At 37.6% G+C, this 12,204-nt stretch overlaps 1 protein-coding gene across 2 annotated transcripts in view; it reads right to left on the reverse strand.

Moving 5' to 3' along the window:
* The window catches only part of GABRA3 (gamma-aminobutyric acid type A receptor subunit alpha3), a 285,082-nt gene that overhangs the window by 195,244 nt on the left and 77,634 nt on the right, over window positions 1-12,204 (reverse strand). For both annotated transcript variants that reach the window (XM_006724811.4, NM_000808.4), the window contains exon 2: window positions 2,954-3,119. In XM_006724811.4, coding sequence (XP_006724874.1) covers window positions 2,954-3,093 — 140 coding nt within the window. In that variant the 5' untranslated portion in view covers window positions 3,094-3,119. The remainder of the gene's footprint in view (window positions 1-2,953; window positions 3,120-12,204) is intronic.

The following is a 12,204-nucleotide window of genomic DNA, read 5'->3' on the forward strand; positions in this document are numbered from 1 at the left end:
CAGGAGAATGGCTTGAACCCAGGACACGGAAGTTGCAGTGAGCTGAGATCGCACCATTGCACTACAGCCTGGGTGAAGAGTGAGACTCCATCTCAAAAAAAAAAAAAAAAAAAAAATTCGAATGAATATAATGAACATGTGCTTAAGAATTTTTTGTGGTTTTTTTTTTTGTCTGTTTGTTTGTTTTAGAGATAGAGTCTCACTGTGTGGCCATGGCTGGCCTTTAACTCCTGGGCTCAAGAGATCCTTCTGTATCAGCCACCCAAGTAGCTGGGACTACAGGCATGTGCCATGGCATGCAACCGTGAATTTTCTTTATGATGACCAAAAGTCACAAAGAAATGGGACTATTCTGTTTAAAAAAATCCTTGTTTAGGATTATAAGAAAATATGCAATACATTTTTAGAAAACTATATTATCAGAGTTAAAATGTAAAAGGCTTTAACACTTGAAGCGGTAAGGTTAATTTATTTAGAACCTTCATCTTATTTAGAATCTATCATGGCCCAGTGAAATGAAATACATGAGGAGTTAACAAAACAGAACTGGTTTTATTTTCCATTTTGGAAGAAAGAACAAAAAGAGTCTTATATACCAAGATTCTAAGGATATACAAGCCCAGTTCTGCAGCCTCAGCCCCAGAGATTACTGTAAAAATGCTGATATAAGATGAAAAGACTCAGAGTACATTAAGATAATCAACACTGCAAAAATAATTAGGAATACTTCCTACTTCAAGATGCATGCTTCCAAGAATATAGGACAATAGCCAAATGTAAAACCAAAAAAAAAAAGTCACTACCAAGGAATAAAATACCTTGGGTAATATTGAAATATTGCAGGGCTAAGAGGTCATTTCTAGTAATGATATTCCTTGGATTAGAAGGGATTTTAAAGTCTAAAAGGAGTTCAACATTGCTGAACACAGTTTGGTGGCAGAAAGACTAAGAAATAAGGCTAGCAAGGTGGGTAGAAGCTGGGTCCTAATGGGTTTTATAAAATCATGTTAAAGAGTTTGTACCTTATTGTAGGGACAACAGAAAACCATGAAAGGGCTCTAAATAGGGTAGGTATGGTCAAACATGCATTACAGAAAAAAATAGTTACAGAGTGGAGGTTAGTTTGGATGGAAACAAGATTTTAGGAAGTAAGACAAGGTTTGCACAGTGGTCCAAGTGAGAGACAACATCAGATTAAACTAGGGTGCTAGCAGAAAAGTTGGAAAAAAGTAGATGAATCCAAGAGATGTGGGAGGTAGAAATGACAAATCTTGGTGATTGATTCAATCTGGAGAGTAAAGGGTAGAAAACTGGCAAAAATGATTCCAAGTTTCTGACTTGAGCAACTGGGTACACAGTGGTACCACTGACTGAAACAGGAAAAAAATGGAAGAGGAATATTTTTGTCTGTTTGTTGTTTGTTTTGTTATGTTTGTTCTTTAGGATGGGGGAGGGAGATGAAGCTAATTAAATACATTGGACATGCTTAGTTTAAGAAGTGTGTGGAATAGCCAAGTGGGCATGTTCAGTAGACAGTTGGATATAGAAGTCTGACATTCAAGAGAAGTCTAGAATGAAGATTGAGATGGGAGTCATTGGCATTTACATATATAAGGTAACTACATCATAGAAATGGATTACATCACTCAGGGGATCTGTAGGGTAAGAAGTGTGCCTAGAACAAAACAAGGAAAAACACAAACACCTGAGGGGTGAACAAAAGAAGACTAAAAAGGATCTTTATATCACAAAGGTCTTTGATGTACCTGTGTAGTATTGTGGAAAATATTGCAGAAAGCATAGTCATAAAAGTATAAAGAAAACCAGATGTAGTATTTATTATTGGTATAATACTATTCTCGGATCCCTTTACTGGGCCAGTGAAATCATCCTGCAGCTACTTTGGAAAATTACTATCTGTTGCAGGGAGTCGCCTCACCTAAAATATCTGGAAGACTATGCCTTTCTCCAGGGGATCCACAGGCAAAGACTAATTGAGGTGAGAGTACACAAGCTTGGGTCCCTTGCCTCAAAGTAGGACAAATCTTTTAGTGCCATTTATGCCCCACTTCTCCTCATGAGGTCAAATTGAGGCTACACCTTTGCTTTACTTCTTCTCTTTCCCTATCTTCCTTCCCTTACTTCCTTACAGGTTTCTGTTGAAAGTGACCTCTCAATAAATCATTTGCTCAAGAATCCTTGTTTCATACTCTGTTTCTAGAGAACCCAATCAAAACACCAGAGAATTATAGTGTCTCTGAAGCCAAAAAGAATTATTATTAAACTATATATTTATATTTTATGCATGTTTCTACATGTATTTTTATTTCATAATAAAATGAAGTCAAGGATGGAGAAGTCAACAATATTGGAACGTAAGAACAGAGAAGTGTTCATTTCAGCAACAGAACCAACATTGGCCATCTTGGCTGCAGAAGTTGCCTTAGAGTCTGGGGTTGGAAGTCAGATGGCAGCAAGTGAATGAAAGGGTGAGAGGTAAATAGATGCAATGAAGCATACCACTCCTTCAAGAAATATGGCTATGAAGGGGAGCAAATAATTAAGGCAGTATCTGGAGGGAAGATTTTTAAATTTAAGATGAGTGATTCCTAAACATTATCATGTTTAAATGCTATGGAGCCACACAGCCAATAAAAAGGAAAAGGTTGAAGATCTAAGAGAGGAGAGATAAAATTGAGGGCAAAAGAACTATTTTTAAGATATTACAGAGGTGATTCAAGCCTGGGCCAGGGTGTTGTCTAAGAAAAAGAAACTTTGAGATCTCTTTCTACTTTGAGAGTCTGAGCCTATGACTTTTTTCTAAATATAATGTAATGTATAAGTATCAGAGACCAGAGTACTTGGGTTCATCTGGGGGAAAACATCAGAAGTTTTGGTCTGAGGCAAACATTTATCACAGTCTTCTTTCATCCTAAGAGTTAGGGGTTCTTACCCGCCAATGTCCTGCTTCACAAAGTCCCCGGGTTCTTGTCGTCTTGATTCCCCTTGACCAGTGGTTCCAGGGAGAATATTAATCAGGAAAAGAATCCCAAGGCTGGTCATGTAACAGTGACTTGTTTGTGTGATTATCATCTTCTTAGGCACAAACTTGGAGAGACCTGTGAGATTCACAGTTTAGATAAGGGATAAGAGGTAGAGAGTAGAAAACAAAGGGAGAGAGGAGAAAGAGGTAAAAAAGAGAGAAAGAGATGTTATTAAACTCTATTAGAGCCATTTAACTTCTCTAGTGTCTAGTTACTCAGTGCTTAATTCAACAGTCCCCTTTTCCCAGCTTGTCAATGCCACCAAAATCGCCCCCAATATACCCTTCTCCTAAATATACCAGAGCCCATCCAAGAAAGGATGCACAGTGTAGCACAAACAGCCCTAAGTCAGTAATCAGGAGTCTGAGGTTACTGCAACATCTCTTTCCTTGGCTTCACCCTATGTGATTAGGTGAATCACAGAACTTCCCTCAGCTTGGGTTACCTCTTATAATCTAAGATCTTAAAAATATTCTCTCATGTCTTCATTTTATTTCCCTCCAATTCCCTGTTTGATCTTTAGTGTTACAAAGTCCTTTGCCTTGGTTAACTGTGTAATATCGTAGAGAATCCTACTATCCTAGTATATTAAGACCTGGAGTCTTTTTATAGCATTTTTGGGATTGATTCTCAGCTTCATAGAGTTAAACAATTTTCCAAAAGATTAAATGGCCTGAAGTGGATAGACTGTTTCCTCTAAATTAGGTTGAGAAAATACTGAATAATGAGACATCATGGCTCTTGAATAAGAATGCAGTATTTCCCCATAAAGAGATATTTGAAAGCAAACTTGTTCCTTTAGATAGGGGACACAACAAAAAGAGAAATCCAAGCCTACTTCCTGACACTGAAATCTCTAAGAGGTCAGCAAATTATACTGGTGATAGAACTAGTGATATGGAGTTCCCTATAAGGAAGGCTGTTTTATGAACCCTGGATCAGTGGAGATTTACCCAAGACATGGGGTTAAGAAAGCAACCAATAAAGTGATGGTTACTTGCTACCTCTAATTTGTGTGGCTTCTTTGATTATGAGACACTGAGAACTTGAAGGAGACCTAACTCTGACCCAACAACATACCCTTTTTCAGTCATATCAGTGAATTAATTTTCAGAGAAAATGGAGGGATATATAACTGGTTTTTTTTCCAAGAAAGCTTATACAAGAGACCAATATGTAAAACAGATACACATTAAGGAGCTATTCTGGTTGGTGAGATTAAGAACAAAAGGCCTTTTAAATTCACCCCACACGCCTCAAAAAAGCAGCCACTGGATCTATATTAAGCTGTCTTCATGAATCTGGTATAGGCATTTGAAAAACTACAACAATGGAGAAGACAGACTTCTGACATGATGAAGTGTCAACATTAGAGACAGAGATAATCATAGTATTAGATTGCACCATATGAAATTGCCAATATTTCACAATTTTGGTTTTATCAAAGAAAGCAATTTCTTATGGTCAACCTAATATAAGAGCTGTGACATCCATGCTTCATGAACAATAAAAGAGTTGATGGACATTTTACAGGAGTATACAGGAATGGTACGGTTCAGAAAACCATAGTATATGAGTAAGAAAAGATAGTGCATGATCAGACAACTCCAAGCATAAGTAACTTCCATGGTAAGGGCAGTAACCATGATATACGCTCAAACATTCACAGTGCTTTAGCAGACCTTAATGTTGTGTAATCATATGACAAGAATTAATGTTCAGATAATCACGATACATGAATTGACAACTACTCTACAGGAACAGAGACACTTGGGCTAGGATATGAAGTTCAAATCATAGAAATAATCCATGGAACATAAGACATAGCCATGATGCATGCTTAGAAAACATGAGTCCATGAGTAACAATCCTGGATGTAGGAGAAGATGGCCATGCTGTGTAAACAAAGAGATCCATAGTGTGTGTTCAGCTATGCTATTCTACTATATCACTATGGGTTATGTTCAAATTATCATGGTAGATAAGCAGCAAACTATCATATTAAGAATAGATGGCAATTACATAGAATTAAATGCCCATGATTTGGAAAGAGAAAACTAAGACATATACTATGATACATAAAAAAGACAACAGCATTACATGAAATCATAACTAAATAAAATGTCTGTGACAGTGAAACAAAGAGCCTTCAAAAATGATCACACATCCATGTGGCTGGAGGCAAATACAGTATATGCATAGACAAACATGATACATGTGAAGAAGCATTTGGTACATCAATTCTTAACCATGATAAATGCACACAGAATATATGTATCATAGCAACCATACTATAGGAATTAAGTGAAATGGTTTAGGAGCAGACTGAAGTGCTATGGAATTAGATTACCATGGTGCAGGAACACAAAAGGTCATGGTCCATGAGTAGGCAGACATGGTCAAAAATTTTTCACTGTAGCAGAAAGGTAAGATACAGTTGCAAGTGACCATAGTGAAGAATTGATATCCTTTGGGTAATGATGATGACAGTGAATAAATAGCTATTTGTAGTGTACGAACACACAAATATAACGCACATATCCATGGTGAATAAAATGAAAATTACAGTGAAGGAACATCATACGAATATTCAGACAACCATGATGTACAAGCAGAAGGTAAAACCTATTGCTGATTTTAATCAAGAAGCCAGGCTATGTTGCAAAAGTAGACAACCATAGTGTATGCTTATATAAGTACAGTACATAAAAAAAAAATGTCCTGTGAGTTTACAGTCAACCATGGCACAAATGCAGATGCCTTTGGCAGGAGCAGATTGGCTATGAAACAGGAGGAGACAACTCTTGTGCAAACTCAGATAATCATGGTGTTAGAAGAGATTATCCATGATACATGAACACATAATCATGACACGTGCTCAGGCCATTATAATATGTAATTGCATGGCCAAATTAGCAAATGATTACCAACCAATTCACCCTACTAAAGAGCTAAAGGAAGGTACAAGGAACAAACAAATAGACGAAAATATCATTTATAAACTGATGACTTGCAAATTAATATCTTCATTCCAGATATTACCTCGAATCCATATATGTATCTAGATATGGGTTCCAGGAGATAACACATATCTTAAACTCATATCGTAACTCATAAGTAAAACTTAAACCCAGGTTAGGTTTAAGATACCTCTCACAAAACTCTGTACCTAAATGTCTGAGAGGCATCTTAAACATAACATTTTCAGATATGAAGTTCAGATATCCACCCCCACACACATATATAGACCTGGTCCTGTGCAGTATTTCCCATCTCAAGTAATAGTGACTCCTCTGCACTTCCATTTGCTCTGATTAAAACTCTAATGTCATTCTTGACTCCCCTTTAACGTTCAAACCACACATCTGATCTATTAACAAGTCTCATTGGCATTCCATTCAAAAGGAAATATATCCAAATTAAAGCCATTGATCATTACCTCTGTTGCTACCACTCTAGCTTGTCATCTCTTGTCAAGATCATTGTAAAAGCTTCTTAACTGGTTTTGCTGCCTCTGTCCTTGCTCCCCTAGAGTCTGTTCCCTACAAAGTGGGCAGAGGGAACTTTTAAAGTGCTAAGGCAGATAATTTCTTCCCCCTGCTCATAATCCTCCCATTTCTTCCCATTTCAAAAGCCTCAGTCTCTTAGCATTTTTTGAGAATATATTATATTATTAACTCTAGTCACCATGTTGTACAAGAAATCTCTTGGACTTATTCCTCCTATATAACTGAAATTTTGTATCCTTGGGCCAACATCTACCCACCCCAGACCATACCTTCCAGCCCCTGGTAACCACCATTCTACTCTCTGCTTCTGTGAAATCACCTTTTTTAGATTAATCCACATGTAAGTGGCATCATGAGGTATCTGTCTTTCTCTGTATGCCTTATTTCACTTAACATAATGTACTATAGGTTCATCCATGTTGTCACAAATGACAAGATTTCACTGTTTTTGAAGGCTGAATCATATTCCATTGTGTATGTATACCACATTTTCTTTATCCATTAATGCATTAATGGACATTTAAGTTGATTTCATATCTTGGTTATTGTGAATAACGCTGCATTAACATGGAAGTGCATATATCTCTTCAACATACTAATTTAATATCCTTTGGATATATAACCAGTAGTGAGATTGCTGAATCATGTAACTCTATTTTTAATTTTTTTTCTTTTTTTTTTTTTTTTTTTTTTGAGACAGAGTCTCGCTCTGTCGCCCAGGCTGGAGTGCAGTGGCGTGATCTCGGCTCACTGCAAGCTCTGCCTCCTGGGTTCACACCATTCTCCTGCCTCAGCCTCCCGAGTAGCTGGGACTACAGGCACCGGCCACCACGCCCAGCTAATTTTTTGTATTTGTAGTAGAGACGGGGTTTCACCGTGTTAGCCAGGATTGTCTCGATCTCCTGACCTTGTGATCCGCCCATCTCGGCCTCCCAAAGTGCTGGGATTACAGGCGTAAGCCACCGCGCTAGGCCCTATTTTTAATTTTTTTTGAGAGACCTCCACATTGTTTTCCATAATGGCTGTGCTAATTTGCATTCCCACCAACAGTGTGTGAAGGTCCCTTTTCTCCACATCCTCTCTAACATGATTGGTCTTTTTGATAATGCCCAGTCTAACAGGTGTGAGGTGATTTACATTTCCTTTAAGATTAGTGATATTGAGAATTTTATCATATACCTATTGGCCCCTTGTATGTGTCACCATAAAAATTATAACTACATGAGAGAATGCATATGCTAATTAGCTGGATTTAGTCATTCCACAATGTGTATATACCTTGAAACATCATGTTGTACATGGTAAATGCATGCAATTTTTATCTGTCAATTAATAAATAAATAAATAAATATATGATCTACAAGGTCCTACATGACCTGATCTCCAAATAGCTGGCTAGTCTCATCCCCTACTACCCTCCCGTCTCACACACTCCACTTCAGCCACTGTGGCCTCCTTCGCTGCTCATGAAATATGTCAGGTATGCTCCTGCACCAGGGCCTTTGCACCTGCTATCCCCTCTACCTGGGATGTTCTTCCATCCAATTTTCATATAATTTGTTCCGTCACTTCCTTCATAGTGTTATTAAAATATCATCTTTTCATTGAGGGCTTCCCTGGCCACCCTATCTAAAATTTCAAGCCTTCCACACATTCCTCATACATCCTATACAGTTGTCTGCCCTATTTTTCTTCCTTTGTGTCTAAAAGGAAGAAAAATTGCTTGTTTCTCAGATAGAAAAGCTCAATGGGGATGAGGATTTTGGTTTTTTTTAAATTCAAAGATATATGCCCAATGCATAGAAGAATATCTGACAAATAATGAGTACTTAATAAATACTGAATAAATGAATGGTATTGTAACTAAGTCACATTCCTAAATGAGGAAAATTGGTTAAGAAGGATAAGGTGTAGGATGGGCTTTGGAACCTGCCAGACTGAAAGGTTACTGGGCACTACCAAATACTAGTTGTGTTAGGCTTTAATGACCTACTTCTTCAATAAAAAATGGGGATAACATCCATCTTGTAAAGGCTGTCAATATTATATAAGATAACAAACGTAAAATGCCTAGTTAAACACCTGCTACTGGGATAAGTCTTCTGATAAGTCTTGTCCAAAGACAAATTCATTTTATCACATTTGAGCACCTGCTATGTACAAGGTACCAATACGACCAATTATTCTATTGGAATTCCTAAAACTTCTTTATTTCAGTACCTAGAAACCACCAGATACTGACATTATGCTTACAAATGTCCCTGTTTGGATGACATGAGGACTGTCTGCCAGAACTTTACCTGAACAAAGTCATTCCACATGTTGTTACCCAGATACTACAAAGTCAACTCTGCCATTTGTCACAACTTGTCACCAGAGTTTCATTTAAGGTCATCTAATTCCACCTAGCCTCAAAGCACTGTCATTCATAAAGGTTTTCAAGACAAAAACATCTTAGTTTCAATTCTGGATATACCACATAGAAATTTGAAATTGGGCAGGTTATTTGACTCAATATTCTAATCCAAATAATGGATTAATTAATCCATTGTTGTCATAAGAATTAAATAATCTAATTCATATGTAGCATTAGCCTTAAGCTTGACATATAGTAAATTTTGGTCACTGTAAACTACAGGTCTATTATTTGACCTCTTTTCCTCCAATGAGCCTCAGCTCTATCCTAATCCATTTGTCCCTTCCATGGCCATATCCTAAGACTTGTCATTACAAGTCCATGATCTTGAATCACTCTCTGACCACATATTTCCAACATTTTTCATCTAGCACCTTCATACTGTCAATTCTTCTACCCACATCCACCCATTCCACCCCACTCCACGGATTTCTAATCTACTGATCTTACAATCTTAGAATTGCTCATCATCATCTTCACGTTCTCATTTCCTTTCTTACCCTGCTTGGATAACATACATAGTCCATAATTAAAATCAGTATAATCATTGTCTGGTATACACCCTGAATACACTTGTATCTCTCATACTGTACTGTACCTGCCTGGAAAAACATAAACCTTGGTCAAATCCAACTCTCCATCTACAAATAAGCACCTTAATATATCTGGAAAAATCTGCATAATGCCTGACTGGCCTCTCTTTAAATTTTCTTCAACATACTTCAATGTCCCACGATCCTTTTGCACTTGCCAAACCAATTCACTCTCCCACTCTCAAGAGATAATATTTTACTTTCTTTTCTCTCTGGGAGAAGAAATAACTCTTTTCCCAGAATCTCTGCAAATAGCTTTGCTTCTTATTTTACCAAGCAATCAAAAGACCATGCGCTCTCCTTCCTAATATCAACTATACCAACCTACCAGAATGTCAGCCATATACTTTAACCTTTTCCCTGTTACCAGGAGTGTCTGCTCCTATCTAATGCAAGCACCCCCACATGTGTCCTGGATCCCATTTCCTGTCTCCTGGTCAAATGTATTATTTGGTTATTGTCTCATCTCTCCCACACTTGTCAGTTTGTCCCTCTATACTGGCTCATTCCTTGCAGCATAAAAGTGATGCAATATCATCGATCATTTTGAAAAAAAAATCATCCCTTGACCTGACATTCCTCCAACCCTTTCTCAATTTTTCTGCCTGCCTTTTATGGTAACCCATTTCAATCATTATCTCTATCTCAACTTCCTCAACAATCATTCCCTCATACTATCTATATCAATCAAGTATTTTCATCTATCACTCCACTGAATCCACTCTTAGTATTAATTCATTCAAAATTTATGGAGTATCATCTATGTACCAGGCACCATTCTAAGTTCTAGGAATACAGCAGTGAACAAAACAGCCAAAAAGTGAATCAATGAAGAAAAACAAGAACACGGGACCAAGGACTCTTCCCTTACATATCAAAGCCATCCCTATCCGATCCATATCCATACCTTGATTTCTCTCTTCCATGCCCTATATTCAAACTGTCAGCTTATCTTGTTGATTTTGGAACAGACCCAGACTCTGACCACTTCTCAATACTTTCATTGCCCCTTAGCTGTTCAAAACCACCCCCATGACTGCAATGAATGGCTAACTTCTTTCTCTGCTGCAACTCTTGCCCCCTTATAGTCCATTCTCTGGACAGTAGTCAGAATGAGGGGTTTTTAGAAAAAAAAATATATATAAGTCAGACCCACTCTCTTCTCAAACTTTCCTAGTGGATATTTTCGGAATCCTAAGTACTTGCCATGACCTATAAGAATCTACTTTATTTGACCACTGGCTACCTCTAAAACCTCACCTCTTTCTACTTTCGGTCTCCCCTACTCATACCAATTCACACTTGTTTTCCCAATACTCCTTGAAAACACCCAGCCTTAAGGGACTTTGTACTTGCTCTTTCCTCTGTCATAAATGCTTTTCCCATATATCTCTTTGCCTCCTTATCCAATTCCACTTTCTTATGGGATATATAACTACACAAAATTACATTATGTACTTACTTATTTCCATTTCTCCCACTGGATATAAGCTTCATTAGTGCAGGAACTTAACTCTAACTCTGGGCCATAGAGTAGAGCCTAGCACATGACTGTTACTCAATAAAATATTTGTTGGAAAAAAAGAGTGAATTTTTTCATGAGTTCATGCTCACACAACTCTGGGCATCCTTTTCTTCTCAGAGGTATAATCTCAAGACTATGCTACTTTCCTAAAACCTTTCCCCCATGCCCTTTCAATCCTTCATTTTATGGAAAACAAATTATTCTATGCTCTCAACTTTTTAAAGGAAAACTTTTCTGTTCTCTTTGCCTTAAATAAATTGGGATTTATATTATAGACACTACTTCATTAACTTTCCCCTGAAGTGTGACATGTGCATACTCCCATATATTATGCAACTGAGAGACAAGATGAGAACTATCTCATTTTTTCAATGCCACGTTGAAACCATCTCTCATCTATGCATGTGCACCACAGTCCTTCTTATTTGAGGTTCATGCCTCCTATCTGTATCACTCTCTGCCTTTCAATCTTACGTCTGCCTCCTTGAAGCCTCCCGACACTGATTCGGAAACTATGCTCAGTTCATACTTCTATCTTTTTGTGGCGTTTCTGTATACTATTTTTTCTTCAACTTTTATTTTAAGTTCCAGGGTACATGTGCAGGATGTGCAGGTGTGTTACATAGGTAAACATGTGCCATGATAGTTTGCTGCACAGATCAACCCATCACCTAAGTATTAAGCCCAGAATTCATTAGGTATTCTTGATGCTCTTCTTCCCCCAACCCACTGTGGAGAGGCCCCAGTGTATATTGTTCCTCCCCATGTGTGCAATGAACATACACGTGTATGTATCTTTATAATAAAGTGATTTATATTCCTTTAGGTATATACCCAGAAGTGGGATTGCTGGGTCAAATGGTATTTCTGTTTCTAGATCTTTGAGGAATTGCCACACTGTCTTCCACAGTGGTTGAACTAATTACATTCCCATCAGCAGTGTAAAAGTATTCCTTTTCCTCTGCAACTTTGCCAACATCTATTGTTTCTTGACTTTTTAATAATCGCCATTCTGACTGGCGTAAGATGGTATCTCAAAGTGTAGTTTTGATTTGCATTTCTTTTTTTTTATTATTATTATGCTTTAACTTCTAGGGTACATGTGCACAACGTGCAG

This window comes from Homo sapiens, chromosome X (assembly GCF_000001405.40).
Source record: "Homo sapiens chromosome X, GRCh38.p14 Primary Assembly".
Taxonomy (NCBI): Eukaryota; Metazoa; Chordata; class Mammalia; order Primates; family Hominidae; genus Homo; species Homo sapiens.